This window comes from Homo sapiens, chromosome 1 (assembly GCF_000001405.40).
Source record: "Homo sapiens chromosome 1, GRCh38.p14 Primary Assembly".
In the NCBI taxonomy this organism is placed as follows: domain Eukaryota; kingdom Metazoa; phylum Chordata; class Mammalia; order Primates; family Hominidae; genus Homo; species Homo sapiens.
In genome coordinates this window covers 68242233-68264248 of record NC_000001.11, presented here as the reverse complement: position 1 = coordinate 68264248, position 22016 = coordinate 68242233, and the positions used below count along the sequence as shown (strand labels likewise).

The 22016-nt window shown below is 38.4% G+C and overlaps 1 pseudogene; it reads left to right on the top strand.

Annotated features, from left to right (window-relative positions):
- Positions 21150-21816, top strand: RPS7P4 (ribosomal protein S7 pseudogene 4; annotated as a pseudogene).

The following is a 22016-nucleotide window of genomic DNA, read 5'->3' as shown; positions in this document are numbered from 1 at the left end:
TTTGACCCTAATCCTGTACTTTAAAGAATAGGATGTAGGACAGGGTTAAAATTCAACATAATTCAGGATAAAGCCTCCACTGTCTCCTCCTCTCTGTGTGCCTCTGTTGGGCAGAGATTTTGCCAAGTCTTCTCAAGGTACTTGGCCTCCCTCACATCAAGTTTGTCTTCTTCAATCAGTAATGGCCAGGGAACAAGGATGGGTTGACTCACTGAAGATGTTGTTAACTTTTTATAGAAAAAAAATACTTGAGGATCATTTACTCTGACTATAGCATGTCATTAAAGCTGCTAGTGATATATGACTGTAGCATGGACATAGAACTCAGGGACATTTCTCTAGTAAAACAAACTCGGGACATTGTATACTTACAAACAACCATAGGAACAAGCTGACTATCAGTCATAATTAGAATATGCTGAGAATGTATTATGGTTTCCTACTAGGACATCCCTTGTTTGTTTAAATCACAGAGAAATAGTGCCACTAAAAAGTATAAAAGAGTGGACATCGTTGAACTGGAGAATTAAAGAAAGACTAATTAAAACATCATAGTTGAGGAAAAGAGAATAAGCCTGGTTTCCCCTTGCAATTCCAAATTCCAGCTTTTACTGCTAAACAAAAGCCCAACTTATGAAAAGTAGTATAAATAAGATAGAAGTGTATATCTCTCTCATATGACAGTCTAACAATATGGGATAGTAAGACAGCTTCATAAAGTTAAAAGCCCATTAAAAGTTGGAATTTGGAATTGAAGGGGAAACCAGGCTTATTCTATTTTCCTCAACTATGATGTTTTAATTAGTCTTTCTTTAATTCTCCAGTTCAACGATGTCTACTCTTTTATACTTTTTAGTGGCACCATTTCTCTGTGATTCCTTCTATGTCTGCATTCTGGGTGGTGTTGTCCTCTACTACATGGTTGAAGGTAGATTCCCAACCCGTCTCCTCAGTCAACATTTCACCAAGCAGAAAGGGGGAAGGGTTCAAGGGCGAGACATGCTTTTTGCTTCTTCTGCTCATATCCCATTAACTACAAGAAAGGCTGAGGAATATCTTTGGTAGCCAGGAGTTCTAGTAGGGTCTAGCATATCATAGTAAAGGACAAAAAAAGAATGGATACTAGGAGATTACTAGCAATCATGCCATATAATAGAAATAATAACTTAATCTATCAATGAATGACTAGGGGGAACCTGTTGGCATTATTTAGTAACCTTATATCATAGGAAAGTAAGGCTCACAAAGGTTAAACGATTTACCTAAGGTCACATAGCAAGTAATCATGGGAACCAGGACACAAATCCATGTCAGTTGACTGCAAATGATAGGTTATTTCTACCACTCTGTGATGTCTTTCCAACTGCTTTTCATATAAATTTATAAAAAGGAAAATAATGGTAGAAGATATCAGTAAGAGTTATTGTCGAAGAAATGTCAAAAGGCAGGAATACTAACTTTTTTCATTGTATAGATATAGAGCTTTTATAGATTCTGAAGTATTTCGTTGTGCCTTTTTTTTTTTTTTTTTTTTTTGAGACAGAGTCTCGCTGTGTCGCCCAGGCTGGAGTGCAGTGGCGCGATCTTGGCTCACTACAAGCTCCGCCTCCCGGGTTCACACTGTTCTCCTGCCTCAGCCTCCCGAGTAGCTGGGACTACAGACGCCCGCCACCACGCCCGGCTAGTTTTTTGTATTTTTAGTAGAGACGGGGTTTCACCGTGTTAGCCAGGATTGTCTCTATCTCTTGACCTCATGATCCGCCTGCCTCGGCCTCCCAAAGTGCTGGGATTACAGGTGTTAGCCACCGCACCTGGGCCTCATTGTGTTTTTTATTGAAAACTAATATGCAATCATTAAAATTCAAATACTTCAAAAATGGTAAAAAGTGAAAATTTTCCTCTCCCCAGAAGTGACCACTGTTCATAATTTGTGTTTATTCTTGCAAATCTTCTTATGAGGGGTTTTTAAGGTTCTTTTGTCTATTTCCAAAGTGATCAGGTACCTAGCAATATTTATTTGTAGGACTAAGGGAAAAGAAAAGTCGATCAGCAGAACCATTCCTAGTCACTGAAAGTTGGAGTGATCCTATGGTTAGGAAACTTTGGGGGCAACTGAGGCCAGCAACAGAGAATAAGAACCGCGTTGCAGAAGAGGTGAAGCACACCTATGCAATATCAATAAACCCATTGTAAATGAAAAATGTTTTAAGTCAAAAATGCATTTAAGACATCCAACCCATCATACATCATAGCTTAGCCTAACCTACCTTAAACGTGCTCAGAACACTTACATTAGCCTATAGTTGGGCAAAATTATCTAACACAAAGCCTTTTTATAATAAAGTGTTCAATATCTCATGTAATTTATTATATACTGTACTGAAAGTGAAAAAACCAAATTGCTGAATGGGTATTTGAAATAGGGTTTCCACTGTATGCGTATTGCTTTCATGCCATTGTAAAGTCAAAAAATTGTAAGTGGAACCATGTAAGTCAGGGACTGTCTGTACTTGTAATGTTGCCAACAACAGTACTGTCTATTTGGCATCAATTCTTTCCCCACCTCCAGAAACCAACCCCCACACCCAAGGTGGTAATATCCTCAGTGATACCAACTTACTTCTCCCCAAAAGACTGGCTTCCTCAGTCAAGGTTACTAGCTAGAAAATGTTAAAGATGGGGCACGGAGGCTGGGCGCGGTGGCTCAGGTCTGTAATCCCTGCACTTTGGGAGGCTGAAGTGGGTGGAAACCTGAGGTCAGGAGTTCAAGACCAGCCTGGCCAACATGGCGAAACCCCGTCTCTACTGAAAATACAACAAATTAGCCAAGCATGGTGGCGGGCGCCTGTAATCCCAGCTACTAGGGAGGCTGGGGCAAGAAAATCGCTTGAACCCAGGAGGCGGAGGTTGCAGTGAGCAGAGATTGTGCCATTGCACTCCATCCTGGGCAACAAGAGTGAAATGCCATCTCAAAAGAAAAAAAAAGAAAAGATCAGGCACGGTGGCTCACACCTGTAATCCCAGCACTTTGGGAGGCTGAGGCAGGTGGATTGCTTGAGGTCAGGAGTTTGAGACCATCCTGGCCAACATGGTGAAACCTCGTCTCAACTGAAAATACAAAAAACAGCCAGGCGTGGTGGTGCACACCTGTAGTCCCAGCTACACAGGAGGCTGAGGCAGGAGAATCGCTTGAACCCAGGAGGCAGAGGTTGCAATGAGCCGAGACTGCACCACTGCACTCCAGCCTGGGCGACAGAGCAAGACTTTGTCTCAAAAAAAAAAAAAAAAAAAAGGGTGCAAGGGTGCAGTGGCTCATGCCTGTAATCCCAGCACTTTGGAAGGCCGAGGCAGGAGGATCACCAGGTTAGGAGATCGAGACCATCCTGGCTAACACAGTGAAGCCCTGTCTCTACTGAAAATACAAAAAAATTAGCCGGGCTAATATATAGTGTCTTTTGATTATACACTTGACTCAAAAGTGTTTGAAGAAATAATTTGTGAATTGGTATATTAGTTTCCTGTTTTGGTTTTTGAAACATTTAAGGTAGTGACTAATACAACTAAGATTTCTCAGCTTTTTCTTTTCATTTCTTTTTTTATTTTTTTCAGAGATAGGGTCTTGCTCTGTCACCCAGGCTGGAGTGCATTGGTGCAATCACAGCTTGCTGCAACCTCCACCTCCCCAGCTCATACAATCCCCCCACCTCAGCCTCCTGAGTAGCTGGGACTACAGGCAAGTGTAACCATGCCTGGTTAATCTTTGTATGTTCTGTAGAGACGGGGTTTCGCCATATTGCCCAAGCTGGTCTCAAACTCCTGAGTTCAAGGGATCTGTCTGCCTCAGCCTCCCAAAGTGTTAGGATTGCAGGCATAAGCCACCCTACCTGGAGCTGATTTCTCAGCTTTTTCAACCAGACATTAGAAACACTACCCATTTCCTGGACTCTGATAATTTTTTTTCCATTAAGCAACACGAAGAAAAGACAGCATGGGGAAACCAGTAAATTCAGAAATTACTTCCCTATCCTATGTGCATATAGACATCAGACATATAGACATATAGAAGCCAAAGTATGAAGAAAAGAAATTCATAAAGTTCAGTCATTTCTATCATAATTGAATCAAAACAATAATTTTTAAGCCACTATCTTGTCAAAGCTTAGGCATAACTTAATGAATAAAGAATAAAGTTTACTCCAATCTGCCACATTATTCTATTGATATTTTTCCATAACGCACTGAAATATTCACTTATATTTTTAATGTGACATTGTAATTGATTGCTTTCTTTTTACTTCAAAAAAATTTTTGATTCTCACACTTACAACTAAAATTGGTATTACTTTTTAAATTAGAAAGCATACCTCAACATAATTAAAGGCTTTTTATGGAAAAATAAAGGCTTTTTATTGGAAAGGAAGAAGTCAAATTATCCTTGTTTGCAGATGATATAAACTTTTATTTGGAAAAAAATATAAATACTCCATCAAAAAGCTGTTAGAACAGATAAATTTAGTACAGTTGCAAGATACAAAATCAATATACAAAAATAAGCAGCATTTCTATACATTAACAGTAATCAATCTGAAAAAAAATCAAGAAAGTAATCTTATTTACAATACTACAACAAAACCCCATAGGAATAAATTTAACCAAAGAAGTAAAATATCTTTAATAGAAAAACTATAAAACACCGATGAAAGAAATGGAAGAGACCACACAGAAAAATGGAAAGATACCGCATGTTCATGGATTAGAAGGTGTAATATTATTAAAATATCCAGGCCTGGCATGGTGGCTTACGCCTGTAATCCCAGCACTTTGGGAGGCCGAGGCGGGTGGATCACCTGAGGTCAGGAGTTCGAGACCAGCCTGGCCAACATGGCGAAACCCTGTCTCTACTAAAAATACACAAAATTAGCTGGGTGTGGTGGTGGGTGCCTGAAATCCCAGCTACTTGGGAGGCTGAGGCAGGAGAATTGCTTGAACCTGGGAGGTGGAGGTTGCAGTGAGCAGAGATTGTGCCACTGCACTCCAGCCTGGGCGACAGAGCGAGACTCTGTCTCAAAAAAATAAATAAAATAAAATAAAATAAAATATCCATACTGCCCAAAGCAATCTACAGATTCAGTGCCATCCCTATCAAAATACCAGCAACAATTCTTCACAGATATAGAAAAACAATCCTAAAATTCATATGGAAATAACAAAAGATCCCCAATAGCTAAAGCAATCCTGAGCAAAATAAACAAAGTTGGAGGCGTCGCACTATCTAATTTCTAATTGTGCTATAAAGCTATAGTAACCAAAGCAGCATAGAATTGGCATTAAAACAGACACATAGACCAATATAACAGAATAGAGAATCCAGAAATAAATCCACACTTACAGTTAACTCATTTTCAACAAAGGCACCAAGGACATACATTCAGGAAAAGATAGTCTCTTTAATAAATGGTGTGCAGAGAACTAGACATCCATATACAGAAGAATAAAATTAGATTCCCATCTTCTACCATATACAAAAATCAACACAAAATAGACTAAAAACATAAATGTAAGACCTGAAACTACAAAAGTACTAGAAGAAAACATTGGGGAAACAATATAGAACATTGATCTGTACAAAGATATTTTGGGTAAGACCTCAAAAGCATAGGTAACAAAAGCAAAAATAGACAAATGGGATTACATCAAGCCAAAATGCTCTGCACAGCAAAGGAAACAATTGACAAAGTGAGGAGAAACCTACAGAATGGGAGAAAATACTTGCATACTACCCATCCAACAAGGAATTAACAAGAATATATAAGGGACTCAAACAACTCAATAGCAAAAAAACAAATAATCAAATAATCCAATTTAAAAGTGACCTAAATAGACATTTCAAAAGACCTAAATAGACTTTTCTCAAAAGAAAGCATACAAATTACCAATGGGTATATGAAAAAATGCTCAACATCACTAATCATCAGAGAAAATGCAAATCAAAAACACAATGAGATATAATATCATCCCAGTTAAAATGGCTATTATTAAAAAGACAAAAAATAACAAATCTTTATGAGGATTCCACAAAAGAGAACAGCTGTACACTATTGTTGGGAATGTAAAGTAGCACAGCCATTATGGAAAATGGTATGAAGGTTTGTCAAAGAATTAAGAATAAAACTATCATATTGTCCAGCAATCCCAAGGCGAGGTATATATCCAAAAGAAAGGAAACCAGTATATTGCACAGATATCTGCATTCCCATGTGTATTTCAGCACTATTCACAATAGCCAAGATATGGAATCAACCTAAGTGTCCATTATTGAATGAGTGGATATAGAAAATGTTACATATACACAATGGAATATTAGCCATAAAAAAGAAGAGTCCTATTTGCAACAACATGGCTGGAGGTCATCATGTTAAATGAAATAAGCCAGGCACATACACACAAATATCACATATTCTCACTCATATACAGGAGCTAAAATAATGGATTTCAAGGAGGTTGAGAGTAGAATGGTGCTGACCAAGGGCCTGTAAGGAAACCAGTGGAGATGAAGAGAAGTTGGTTAATAAGCACCAAAATACTGTTAGGTAGAAGGAATAGGTTATGGTATTTGATATACAGTAGGGAAATTATAGTTAATAATCAGTATTGTATATTTCAAAATAGGTAGATGGGAAGAATTGTAATGTTTCAAATAAAAAGAGAAGATAAATATTTGAGGTGGTGGACACCCCGTTTGCCCTGATTGATAATTACACATTACATATGTGTATCAAAATATCACATGTACCCCAAGATATGTATAACTACGATACCTCAATAAAAAGTACCAAAAATTTTAGACAGCATGTTTACAAAGGAGATGTGGTGTACATACTGTATATTATGTAACATCCCCAGCAGAGTCTGAGGTAGCATTTTAAAATCTAAAGCATTGTATCAGCTAGCTATTACCTCAATAATTCATCATAACAAAACACTCCAAAACTCGATGGCTTACAAAAGCAACCATGTTTTTCTTATTTCATAGCTCTGTGGGGATGCTGTTCTGTATTTCTTCTCATTCTTTCAGGATCACTGATTCCCTGGGGCAGGCCTTCTCATGGTGAATAATGGGAAGGCCAAAGACCCAAAAAACTCAAATCTCATCAGCACATTTAATGCCTCTGCTCTCATCAGCTCCCCTCACATTCCATTGGCCAAAGCCAGTCATATGACTAAGTCCAGCTGTAGCAGGACCAGCCGCAGGCAAAACTCCTCAGACACCGAGTTAAAGAAAGAAGGGGTTTATTCGGCCAGGGGCATCAGCAAGACTCCTGTCTCAAGAGCTGAGCTCCCCAAGCGAGCAATTCCTGTCCCTTTTAAGGGCTCACAACTCTAAGGGGGTGTGCGTGAGAGGGTCATGATTGATTGAGCAAGCAGGGGGTATGTGACTGGGGGCTGCATGCACCGGTAATTAGATTGGAACAAAACAGGATAGGGATTTTCACAGTGCTTTTCTGTACAATGTCTGTAATCTATAGATAACGTAACCAATTAGGTCAGGGGTCAATTTATAACTACCAGGCCCAGGGTGTGGCACCAGGCTGTCTGCTTGCAGATTTCATTTCTGCCTTTAGTTTTTACTTTTTCTTTCTTTGGAGGCAGAAATTGGGCATAAGACAATATGAGAGGTGGTTTCCTCCCTTACAACGTTAGGGAAATATATTTCTTCCCATGAGGGAGAAGGTAGGTGAAGTGTTGCTATAAAATACTCAAATTAATATACTAACATTTCTTCAGTAAAACATATGAATATCTCTGCATTCAGTGGGATAAATACAAATTATAAATAACCCCAAGATAGTTTGGTTTTCAGAACCTTTTGGATTTTATATTTGAGATGAAAATCTCCATCAAGCCCTTGTGATCCTTCCTCTCTTGTCCTTTTACTCTGTAATTCCTACTCCTGAGACCAAGGGCTTCAGTAAGGATGGCGTTCCCTCTGCTTAAGGCCGCCAAAAGCTACTGTTGCTACATGTCTCCTAATGTCCTTCAAGGCATATATGTCATACACTTCTTTTGTTACCCTCACAGAACCTAACAGAAGCTCCGGATCCATAGGAAACCCATAAGAGAAATGCTTATTCAATTGGATTATAACATCAGTGAAGCCTGTAGACCCAATGCAAGCCAAGCATGAAAAGGTGTGAGGATGCCAAGGCTTAAGGACATTTTCTGTCATTCAGTTCTTGCATCTCATCCACTCCTACTCCATAAGTGTTCTCTTCTTAAAGAATATCTTAACAGTTTGCAGCTGTGTTAATCAAACTTCCCATTGTCTCTTTATTACATAACTCACACTTTCACATTTTTAAACAAAATGAGATAGTTACTTTGACTTCAACAATAGTCTCCTAAAATAAAGGGGGGAAGAGTTGGCATTAGAGTTATACTAACATCTAAGGCCAAGTAATTAGTGACTCCACTATTTTTCTATTCCCTTAACTATCTGAGAATCATGTATCTAAGAAGATTTGAAGTACGGCTGTGGATTTGTGTTTAAAGTGGAACATTGCCCAATAACAGTGCTGTCTACTATATATTTTTCCCTAACTCTTCTGGCCTAAAGTGTAATTAAAATAGAGAGCTATTACAACCGAATGGTTATTACTTGTTTCATATTACAGTAGGTTGGTTGATGTCTTCTTCAGAAATAAATAACTCAACTTCACCTGGAGGACTTTTCCGATGTCCCAATGTGATCCTTGAGTGACGAAATCATGGTTTCTTAAGTTTTGGAAGGAAGATGAAATAAACCCAAAGATTATGAAAGAAGAACAATAGAAAATTGCTGAATCACCAGCAACTGAACCAAACAAAAGAGTTTAAATAAATAATTTATTTTTAAACCTACATCATAAAAAATGACAAATCAAAGATAAATAAATCAATAGAAGCTTTGTAGGTCTCAAAGGAGATTTCTGGGCATATTTCTGGGACTTTATAAGTTGACGCAAATTCTCTATCACTTTTTAAAATTAGCTGGTTTATTTTATTACAGCAGCAATAAGGTTCAAAATTTTAAAATAAACAAAATAAGAAAGCATAAATTAAAACATCAAATTTCCCTACCTTCTATCTTTTCCTTCTCTGTAACCACGGACGTAACCTCTGGTAACATTTTCTTCCATTTATAGCCATTGAGAATATTTCACTTTCAGTGTTTATATTAATTTGCTCAGGCTGCCATAACAAAATACCTCAGTCTGGGTGGCTTAAACAGCAGAAATTTATTTTCTCACAGTTCTGGAGGCTAATAGTCCAAGGTCAAGATGTCAGCAGGTTGAGTTTCTTCTGAGACCTCTCTCCTTGGCTTGCAGTTGGCTGCCTTATTTCTAAGCCCTCACATTGATTTTCTCTGTTTGCTCACATCCTTGGTGTGCCTCCAGTGTCTTAATCTCCTCTTCTTTACAAGGACACCAGTTGGATTGGATAAGGACCCACACTAACAGTCTCATCTTAATTTAACAACCTCTTTAAAAGCTTTATTTCCACATACAGTCACATTTTCAGGTGCGGAGAGTGAGGGTTTTCACATACAAATTTTAGGAAAAGACTGCTCAGCCCATAACACTATCTTAAAAAGCAAAGCAATGCTACAGCAAAATGATGAAATTCCTGTAGACATATCTTTGAACACTTTTGCAGGCATATGGGTAAGATAAATTTCAATTTGGGGGTCAAAGAGTATGCTCAGCAATAATTTGGATAGATGTTGATAAATTTCCTACAAAAGGTTTGTAATAATTTATTCTATCAACAATATATAGACCTGCATAGTTCCCTTCAGCTTTGGGCTTACATAACCTTTTAATATTCTTAATTGGATAAAAAAATACACTTTGTTCTTCAGTTTATGTATTTTAAAATATTATATGGTTAAGTATCTTTTCAGGTGTGAATTGCGCACTCATATTTTTTCCATAAACTCCTTTGCCCACTTTTTTTCTATTGGGTTATATATCTTTGTTTCTGTTTTTGTTTTGGAGACAGGGTTTCACTCTGCCACCCAGATAGAGTGCAATGGTGCAATCATGGCTCACTGTAGCTTCAGACTTCGAAGCTCAAACGGTCCTCCTGCTTCAGCCTCCCCAGTACCTCAGACTACAGGTACATGCCACCACTCCCAGTTAATTTTTGAATTTTTCTTTTGTAGAGGCCATAGGGTCTGGCTATGTTGACCAGGCTGGTTTCAAACTCCTGGCCTCAAGGAATGCTCCAGCCTCAGCCTCTCAAAGTGCTGGGATTACAGGTTTGAGCCACCATGCTCAGCCTTACCTTTTATTTACTTATTTGGAAGAATTTTTTTTATATTAAGGTGCCTTGTCGTATTTGTTGCAAATATTTTTTCCCAATATGTGCTTGTCTTCTATTTGACCTTTTTTCACGGCAGAGTGTTAAAATTGATAGAAATTGAAAATGTTAAGATTAAAATGTAGATATTAATCTTTTTCTTTTGGCTTGAGGACTTTGAAATAAGTTTAGAAAGGCATTTCCTATACCAAGTTTATGTTTGGATTAGTATTATTCATGTTCTTGCTTATTATTTTGGGATTTCTTTTATTCACATCTTAATAGAGAAGAAGGAAGGGTAAAATCCAGGTTTATGTTTTTCAAATGTTCAATCAGTATTACCAACATTATTTATTTAATAATTTATATTTTTCTCATTTATTAAAAATGTGACTTTTATCATTTTATTATTAAACTCAGATAATTACTCCAGATTATTTATGGATTTGTTCATCTATCTCATTGATCTTTTTTGTTTATTTGTGGTCAGAAAGAAAGTTCAGATACTTTAAAGCAACACTTTATCTGATGTACTCAACCCACCTCATGATTCTTCTCTTTTCAAATATTTTCCTACGTGTTTATTTTGTCATATAAATTTTAGCATCATTTCATTCAAATTTCAAAAATCTTCAAAAAACTTTGTTTATATTTTTGATAGGAATTGCTTTATAGTTTAGATTAATTCAAAAATAACTCTTTCAAAATATTGATTCATCAGATGGAAACCATCATTCTCAGCAAATTATCACAAGAACAGAAAATCAAACACCGCATGTTCTCACTCATAAGTGGGAGTTGAACAAGGAGAACACATGGACACAAGGGAAGGGAACACCACACATCCAGACATCTGGGCCTGTTGGGGGGTGGGGGGCTAGGGGAGGGATAGCATTAGAAGAAATGCCTAACGTAGATGACGGGTTGATAGGTGCAGCAAACCACCATAGCACGTGTATACCTATGTAACAAAACTGCACATTTTGCACGTGTACCCCAGAACTTAAAGTAAAAAAAAAAATTGTATGCAGAGAAGTAACATAGGAACATAAACTTTAGAAAAATGTTACTAATCAGATAACTTTGAATAAACCACTTAATCCCACTAAAAAATAGATAGGTAGGTAGGTAGATAGACAGATATAGATAGATAGATGATAGATATAGATAGATAGATAGATAGATAGATAGATAGATGATAGATAGATAGATAGATAGATAGATAGATAGATAGATAGATTCATCTATCCAAACAAAAGATGTCTTTTCATTTAACTCATTTTTAAAAATTTTGACTCAGTGAAATTTTAAATTTTCATGCTTTCTTATTAGATTCATTCCTAGAATAGTTATTGTGAATGAGATATTCTTCTCCATTCTACTTTCTAGCAGATAATCATTATTCTAAAGTAAAGTACTGGACTTTTTTTTTTTTTTTTTTTTTGAGATGGAGTCTCACTCAGTCGCCCAGGCTGGAGTGCAGTGGCGCAATCTTGGCTCACTGCAACCTCCACCTCCCAGGTTCAAGCAATTCTCCTGTCTCAGTCCCCCAAGTAACCAGGACTACAGGTGCGCACCACCACGCCCGGCTAATTTTTTGTAGTTTTAGTAGAGGTGGGGTTTCACCATGTTGGCCTGGCTGGTCTCAAACTCCTGACCTCACATGATCCACCTGCCTCAGTCTCCCAAAGTGCTGGGATTACAGGCATGAGGCACCACATCCAGCCAAGTAATTGACTTTTAATTATTGTGATTAGCTTTATTATTGCTTGAATTATTTTTATTTGAATTTTTAGATTTATAATTGTATCAATCACACATAATTCTAAGTTTGTTTCCTTCTTGTTTCTCTTTTTATTCTCTTCTTCAGTTGCAATGGCTAGCATCTCCAAAATAAATATCAAATAATAATGGTGATTTCAATTCTAGATTGTACTAGAGAAATTCACCAATACAATAAAGCAAGCAAACAAAATGAAAGCTATAAAGTTTGGAAACAGAAGTAAAATTATTATTGTTCATATATGACATGATTGTTTATGTAAAAAAATTGAAAAAATCTACAAACAAATTATAAGAATACATTTATTTTGTAAGGTCAGTGGATAGAAGGTTGATATAGAAAATCAATTTTATTTATATGTACTACACAACTAGAAAATAAAAAAAATTTAATACTTTTTATAATAGCACTGGAATTTTCTGTGTTTGGGTATAAAAGTAATAAAAGTAGTACAATATCTCTTCCTTAAAAATAATAAAATATAGGCTGGGTGCAGCATCTCATGACTGTAATTCCAGCACTTTGGGAGGCTGAGGCAGGAGTATCACTTGAGGTCAGAATTTCGAGACCAGCCTGGGCAACACAGCCAGACCCCACCTCAAAAAAAATAATATATATATATTTTTTAAGTTAGCTGGGAGTGGTGGCTCATACCTGAATTCCTAGCTACAGGGTAGGCTTAGGCAAGGTAATCACCTGAGCCCAGGAGATTGTGACTGCAGAGAGCTATGATTGTGCCACTTCACTCCAGCCTGGGTGACAGAGTGAGACCTTGTCTCAAAAAAGAAAAGATAAAATATGGCCAAGAAAAATTTCTAAAAGACCCTTTTAAATCAAATGGAAGAAATCACATGTTTATTGATTGTAAGCTCAATAAACTTGCAATCTTGATGCCTGTTCCTGAAAAACACCATTAAAAAAAAAAACAAAAACGGAAAAGACAGATCACAGACCAAGAGATGATATTTTCAATACAAATCTTGAAAAAGTATCTGCGTCCAGAATATATAAAGAACTTCTACAAATAAGTAAAGACAAAAATGGTGATCAATTTAAAAAATAGAAAAAAGACTTGGACAGACATTTTACAAAAGAGGATATCTCAATGAACAAAAGGCAACAGCATAGTCATCACAGAATACATATTGAAACTCTAATCATATACCCATATATCCCCACCAGAATGGCTAAAATTAAAAAGACTGACACTGCTAAGTGTTGATGAAGATGTGGAACAATTGGAACTTGATTTGCTAGTGTAAATGTATGTTGGCATATCTACTTTGGAAAATTATTACAGTACAGTAACATTAAATACACCCATATTTCTGTAGCCCAGCAATTCTTCTTTTGCATAGATATTTAACACAATGGAATAGTCATGTCAACCAAAAGACAAATACAACAATGCTTACAGTAGCTTTATTCATAATAGCAAAAACTGGAAGAAACTCAAATGTCATATAAACTGTGATAATATTTACACAACGAAATGAAATAAGCAAAATACTGCTACATGCAATAACAAAGATAAGTATCACAGACATCATGTTAGGCAGCAAATGCTAGTTATGAAAGAATACAAATACATATTATGAAGCTCAAAAAGAAGAAAAACAGATCGATGGTGAGAAATGTGAAAAAAGTTCACACAACTTTAGGATTAAGAAGGAATAATCAACTAGGAGTGAGCACAGAAAAGCCCTTCGAGATGGTAGAAATGTTTTGTATCTTGATCTGGGTGGTTCCATATCTAATATATTTATTTGTTCTGGGCTGAATTGTGCCCCTCCCCCAATTTATATGTTGAAATCCCAACTCCCAGTACTAAAGAATGTGACCATGTTTGAATACAAGGTCTTTAAAGAGGTGATTAAGTTAAAAGAGGCCTTTAGAATACGGCCATAGTCCAATATGACTGGCACCCTTATAAGAAGAAGAGGAAGCCAGGCACAGTTGCATGTACCTGTAAACCCAGCTATTTCAGAACCTGGAGCAGGAGGATCGCTGGAGTCCATGAAACCTGGGTAACATTGCAAGAGCCCATCTCAAAAAAAAGGAGCAGGGAGAAGACATCAGGGGTACAGCACACACCCAAAGGAAAGACCCTGTGAAGAGACAGCAAGAGGGTGGTCATCTGCAGGCTGAGGAGAGAGGCCTCAGGAATCCAAGGTGCCAACCCCGCTGACACCTTGTTCTTGGACCTCCAGCCTCCAGAACTGTGAGAAAATAAATTTGCATTGTTTAAGTCTCCCAGTCTGTGATGTTTTGTTATTGTGGCCTGGTATAGTTTGGATCTGTGTCCTCTCCCAAATCTCATGTCAAATTGTAATCCCCAGTGTTGGAGAAGGGGCCTGGTGGGAGGTGATTGTATCATGGGGAAGATTTCCCCCTTGCTGTTCTCATGATAGTGAGTGAGTTCTCACAAGATCTGGTTGTTTCCCCCTTTGCTCGCTTCTTCCTGCTCCAGACATGTAGGACATGCCTGCTTCCCCTTTGCCTTCCGCTATGATTGTAAGTTTCCTGAGGCCTTCCCAGTTATGCTTCTTGTACAGCCTGTGGAACTGTGAGCCAATTAAACCTCTTTCCTTTATAAATTACTCATTTCAAGTATTTCTTTTTTTGTTTTTGGTGTTTTGTTTTATTTTGAGACAGGGTCTCACTCTGTTGCTCAGACTAGAGTGCAGTGGCGTGATCTCACTCTGTCTCGCTCTGTGGCCCAGGCTGGAATGCATTGGCATGATCCCCGCTCACTGCAACCTCCACCTTCTGGGTTCAAGCAATTCTCCTGCCTCAGCCTCCTGAGTAGCTGGGACCACAGGCATGCACCACCACACCTGGCTAATTTTTGTATTTTTAGTAGAGATGAGGTTTCACCATGTTGGCCAGGCTGATCTCACCGTAACCTCCGACTCCCATGCTCTCTGCCTCAGCCTCCCAAGTAGCTGGGATTACGCACCACTACCACCTGGCTAATTTTTGTATTTTTAGTAGACACAGGGTCGCACCATGTTGGCCAGGCTGGTCTTGAACTCCTGATCTCAAATGATCTACCCGCCTTGGCCTCCCAAAGTTCTGGGATTACAGGTATGAGCCACCACTCCTGGGCCTTCAAGTATTTCTTTATAGCCATGTGAGAACAGACTAATACACAGCCCTAGCAAACTAATACGGTATTCATATGTAAAAATTCATCAATGTGTGCTCCTATGATTTGTGTACTTTACTGTATGTAAGTTATATAGCAACCAATTAATTGTTTTCTTCTAGCAAACAGCTCAAATTACTCCTAACACATCCATTCTACTCTTCACCACAAACCTGTCTCATAGTTTATTCATCATTTTCTGCATGGCCCATTACTATTTCTGATTGTATTTTAACTCTACCTTAGCTTTTTCAGCTGTTGCATTTTGCTGTATTTTTCTAAAGATAAGAAGAGAAATGGTGGGAGAGTGTAGAATTAGTATAATCTTGTTATTTTGAGCACTTCAGTGAGCTATAAATTAGGGTCTGCTTTCTAGATCTACTGATAATTGTTTGAACAACTTTGGATGCTTCTACTTCTGGATTCCCTCACGGAAAATGGTGATAATTATAAATAGCCAGATCTCCAAGGTTGTAAATATTACTAAGATAGCATCTTAAAATTGGTGCTATACAAATATAGAAGGCATCATTCTTCCCAGTTCAGTAATAAACATGGCTTAATCTTAATGAGAACATCATCTCTCCACCCTCGTTGTGTTCCTATCTCACATCACTGTAGATCTCCAAAGCAATATGCTGGAGACACAAAGGTGTGTGCTAACTCTTCAGCTAGACGTATGGTCTTTAGGAGTTACTGCTCCCTGATTTTGCCCCTTGCTTGTTTAGATTTTTCCTTTTTGTCTATCTGGAGAACACCTACTCATATTTCAAAACTTATCTAGAACTCTAAAGATTTATCTGAACTCTTTCCTCTCCTGTAATATAAAATAAGCCACTCTTTCCTTGTTCCTACTTTCAATACCAATGTTGCCTCATGTGGAAATATGAGGATGACTTCTAGTACTGCTAACCATAGCTGCCCCTTAATGTTACCACGTCCCAGGCACTGATCTAAGTTCTTCATATGTATATATATTATATATAACATATATATTATATATATAGACTTGAAATCCTAACAGCAATCATATAATGTTCATACTATGAAAAAAAGAGGCATAAATTGTTTAAATGCATTTCCTAAAGTCACACGTGAAGTAAACAGCAAAGCCAGGCTTTGGACAAAGTCTGTGTGGCTCTAGCATCTGTTCTCTTAACCTCTATGCAATTCTACCTGTCCCATTATTGTGCTTCTTGCTTTTTAACCCCTTTTCTAGACTTTTATGTCCTTCAGGGTGGAAACATTCTCTGATGTATCTAGTGTCTTGCACATATTAGGTGCTCAATAAACATTTGCTGAATGGGTAAATGGTATATTATTCAATAGAGACACTTTCACTCTCATACTGAAAACATGCCTTCAAATTTGTATTAAATAGTCTGAGGAATCTAGAATTTCAAGGAATTCTGAAACAAGTTTCTTAGAAGAGTACATACATACTCTTTTGTAGTGAATATTCACTTCCAGGTTTCTCTGAGAAAACGTTTGAATTTTTATTTGGGTTTATTTAAGCAAAGTTCATTTGCAAAGATAATCAAGGAGAAAAGTATTGCCTACCTCACAGCAAGTATTGGGAAGATTAAATGAAGTAAAACACGTAATATATTCAGAGCAGTGCCTGGTACATAGAAAAACTAAAGGAATATTACCGTTACTGTTATTAGAATCAAAGACAGAAGAGAGTAACTGTTAAGTGCATGGACTTTGATACCACACTGATTGGATTCAAAGCCTAGCTCCAGTGTTTATTAGTTATGTGATCTTGAGTAAGTTACTAATCCTCTCTGAGCCAACGTTTCTCCAGTATGTAAAATAGAATAATAATAGTATGGATCTCAAATGGTTGTGGTGAAGATAAAATGTTCTAAGTGATATATATGAGTTTATTTAGAACATTTAATCCTCACAAGTATTTGAGATGCATACTATTCCTATTTTGCTTCTAAGTGTTATATATTAATATATTTCTTCTGTCTACTTGTCTGTTTATCTCACTTCAAAAGTGCCCATCACTTAGCATGTATGTGTTTGGTCTTATTATTATGCCATATTATTTATGACACCTGACAAATAATATGTTCATTACCTGTTGACTACATTAACTTAAAAGTCTAGGATGATTTCTGGGTTTTCATCTTGGGCCTCTGGATGGCCAGCAGTTTAAAACAGGTAATACAAGAGGAGGAATACCATGGGATCACAGCTTGGTGGTACCACTTTAGGAATGAACTGATCTGTCCCAACGATTATGTTACAAGGGGAAAGATCTGAGCTTGGCTGTGAGTTACACACCACAAAGTACGAGGTCCCACATTGATGAATCGGGGAAAAAAAGATAATCTAAAGTAACTAGATCTTAGAGTACTCTGTGAGATTTTGCTAGATACGAGCTTAAAAAGATAGGCTTTATTTATAGGCAATCAGACGATACTGCCAGCCTCTATTCAGAACAGAGAAAAACAGATCAGTGTTTTGTAATGACCACACTCTGAAAACAGTTTGCAAACTATATTATCTATCATAAGAAACCAGAGATTGGAGGCCTGATAGTGAAGGTCTTCAATAGTCTAAACTGGAGATATTATAGGGGTCTAGACTTGCAGATCAGTGAGGATGGAGAAGAGATGCCAGCTCACTATGAATAAGGGAGGTACGGTCTGGTCAAGATAACTGCATGTGTAGGTAATGAATCTAGGATGACCTTGAGATATGTAAGTCGGGTGGCTAGTTGGAGAGTCAGGAAAACTCTGAGATAGGGAAGGTGTCTGGTTGATTTGGAGGTGCATGTGGTTTATCTAGGCAGAGAAGTCTAGGAAGCAGTTGGTTATATGAGTTTAAAGTTCAGACAAGGGGTCAGGGCTATAGATAAAGATTTGCCCACAGACCCTATGAAAAGAAGAGGTAAAGGAGAGAATACTCCAAAATACAGTATTAACTCTCAGGGAGTTGGTAGAGAAAATGGAGCCAGCAAAAGAGAGAGAAGGAGATGTTAAGAGAAGTAGAAGGGGAACTGAGAGAAAAAAGTTACTGAAGCTGAGGAGGTGAGGAGAGACTTTTCTGGAGGGAGGAAGGTTACATTTCAGAGACCTCTAGTAGGATAAGCACCAAGGTCACTCCATGAGATTCATCAGAGCAGTCAGTAGAATGCTGGCTGTGGAATCTAGATTTTCTGCAGATGGCCAGAGAGGGAATGGGAAGTGAGATTATAAAGCCAGCAAATAGGAACTATTGTTCCTAGAAGTCTTTGTTTTATTTTGTTTTGTTTTGTTTCGTTTTGAGACAGAGTTTCACTCTTGTTGCCCAGGCTGGAGTGCAATGGCACAATCTTGGCTCACTGCAACCTCCACCTCCCGGGTTCAAGTGATTCTCCTGCCTCAGCCTCCCTAGTAGCTGGGATTACAGGCACCCGCCACCATACCCAGCTAATTTTTTGTATTTTTAGTAAAGACAGGGTTTCACCATGTTGGCCAGGCTGGTCTTGAACTCCCGACCTCAGGTGAACCACCCGCCTCGGCTTCCGAAAGTGCTGGATTACAGGCGTGAGCCACCATGCCTGGCCCCTAGAAGTCTTACGGTAGAGGAAAGAAGCCCAAGAAGGCAAAGGGTTAAGGAGCCGTAGAGTTAAGGGAAAGATCTTTTTTTAGGATGAGGAACACTCCAGAGTAAGATTGAGGAAAGGTTTGAAAAAAGATCTCTAAAGATATCATAGAAGGTGACGGGAGGTAATTAATAATAACAACTAACCATTACTACATTCGTGCCATGTGCTAAGCACGCTCTGTAGTGAGTAGTTTTCACTCACTGACTCATTTAATCCTTGCTATCATCCTGGAGGCAGGGACAATTGCTATTGTCTTCATTTGTCACAGGAGGAAATCAAGGTACAGACAGGCTTAGTAACTTGCTCAAGGTTACATAGCCGGTACTGTAAATTGCAGAGCCAGAAGTTCAAACTCAGGCAGTCTGGTTGCAGAGAATATGATCTTCACCATTAAGCTGTACTGACCAACTCTCTAAAATGGGTCTGAGAACTTTGTCCAAGAAGTGGTTCATTGCTTCCTTGGAGACAAGGCAGAGAAGATACTTATCAGTTTGGAGGCTGAGAATGTTTATACTTAATGGCCCCCACCTCTCCTTGTCCCATAAAATAGAACGTCTATTGAGAGAAAAAGATGAAGAAGCATGAAAGCTTAGAAGCCAAGACCTGGAAGAGCCACTGGGATTCTACTAGAATTAAATAAAAAGACTTCTGAGTAAAACACAGTCCTTTGACCTTAAAAAATATATAATACACTGAAGTAGATATGACAAGTGCCCAAATAACTATAATCTGGGGCAATATGTGTGAAGGGACATAATAGACATAGAATGTTAGTTGTACAAGGGTTCACCAAGGGAGACACTGTGTCAGGTTATGGGGTAGAAGGATCAAAAGAATCTCAAAGTATGTGAAATATTTGAAAGACAGAGTTTCAACAAGCAATCCAGGAGTCTTAATATTTTTCCAACAGACAGCTTACTAAGAGCAAGGTTCAATGAAAACATTGTTGATAGCGATTAGAGGAAACTGGAGTTGACGGGAATGTGGCGCAGAGGAGAAAGAGTCTCTGACCAAGGCAGGATGAGAGGGCAGGGGTTGAGGGCATTGAACCTCACTTTTCTAACTAAATAACAGTATCCACCTCCAAGATTATCCTTTTCCTCCTCCACCTCCTCTAGTTTCTCCTTGTTATTGAGTGCTTATCAAATGCCTGGCATTTTGCTAAGCTTTTTATTTTTTCTATCTATCTATCTATCTATCTATCTATCTATCTATCTATCTATCATCTATCTATATCATCTATCTATTATCGAGACAAAGTCTCGCTCTGTCGCCCAGTCTGGAATGCATTGTCATGATCCCCGCTCACTGCAACCTCCACCTTCCGGGTTCAAGCAATTCTCCTGCCTCAGCCTCCTGAGTAGCTGGGACTACAGGTGTGCACCACCACACCTGGCAAATTTTTATTTTTAGTAGAGATGGGGTTTCACCATGTTGGCCAGGCTGATCTCAAATTCCTGACCTCAGGTGATCCACCCGCCTTGGCCTCCCAAAGTGCTGGGATTACAGGTGTGAGCCACCACGCCCGGCCAACTCTTTATATATTGAATATATTTGATCCTCATCACAGATTTTGTGAAGATAACATCATCTCCATTTCACAGGTGACTTAGCTGAGGCTCTGAGAGGTTAAGTTACTTTCCTGAAGTCTCAGAGCTAGATGATGGTTAAGGCAGAATTCCACCAACATCTGTTTGATCCTAAATCCTTGCTTCTCATACTGCCTCTCATAATTGAGTAACAGCACCTGGCATATAGGAGATGTCCAATAAATTTATAATGGACATTAATAATAACTAATGGATATATGTCAAACAACATGTGGTGCTTGGGGTGGGTTATTAAAATGTTTAAAGTGGACAGAACGCTGTTCTGCACATGCACCCCAGAACTTAAAGTAAAATACAAATAATAATAAAATAATTTCAAAAGTGGACAGAAACCAAGGTACCCTTGCGGGATTGGCAGAAGAGGAAAAAACTCACTTTTTTCTCTCCTTTTTTAGTGACTACTTACTTATATTAAACTTACTATGTGTCAGGCACTGTTTTAAACACTTTATACAAATAAACCCTCTTAATATTCATTACAATCTCATTTACAGATGAGAAAACTGAGGTACAAAACATTTAACCTAACTGGCCCATGCACACAGCTAGTAAGTGGCAAAGCCAGGTGATCTGGCTCTGGAGCCCATGCTCTGAACCATGCTGTCTCTGTGAGGGTCAAATGGAGCCAAGCATGGAGGACCTTGTGCATCAAGCTAAGGAGAGCAGCTCTTCATAAGCCGGCGCTCGGCGAGTTCTCCCAGGAGAAGGCCATGTTCAGTTCGAGCGCCAAGATCGTGAAACCCAACGGCGAGAAGCCGGAGGAGTTCGAGTCCGGCATCTCCCAGGCTCTTCTGGAGCTGGAGATGAACTCAGAACTCAAGGCTCAGCTCAGAGAGCTGAATATTACGGCAGCCAAGGAAATTGAAGTTGGTGGTGGTCGGAAAGCTATCATAATACTTGTTCCCGTTACTCAACTGAAATCTTTCCAGAAAATCCAAATCCGGCTAGTAAGTGAATTGGAGAAAAAGTTCAGTGGGAAGCATGTCGTCTTTATCGCTCAGAGGAGAATTCTGCCTAAGCCAACTCGAAAAAGCTGTACAAAAAATAAGCAAAAGCGTCCCAGGAGCAGCACTGTGACAGCTGTGCACGATGCCATCCTTGAGGACTTGGTCTTCCCAAGTGAAATTGTGGGCAAGAAAATCCGCGTCAAACTAGATGGCAGCCGGCTCATAAAGGTTCATTTGGACAAAGCACAACAGAACAATGTGGAACACAAGGTTGAAACTTTTTCTGGTGTCTATAAGAAGCTCATGGGCAAGGATGTTAATTGTGAATTCCCAGAGTTTCAATAGTAAACAAAAATGACTAAATAAAAATATATATATTCATAGTAAAAACACACACACACACACACACACACACACACACTAAAACGCTAAGGAGAGCAATCCTTGTCCTTTTGCTTTCTCCAGTCTGAGGTCTCTTCTACACCTCTTACAGCAGTCATTCTTTTTTTTTTTTTTTTTTTTTTTATGAGATGGAGTTTTGCTCTTGTTTCTTGGGCTGGAGTGCAATGGCGCCATCTTGGCTCAC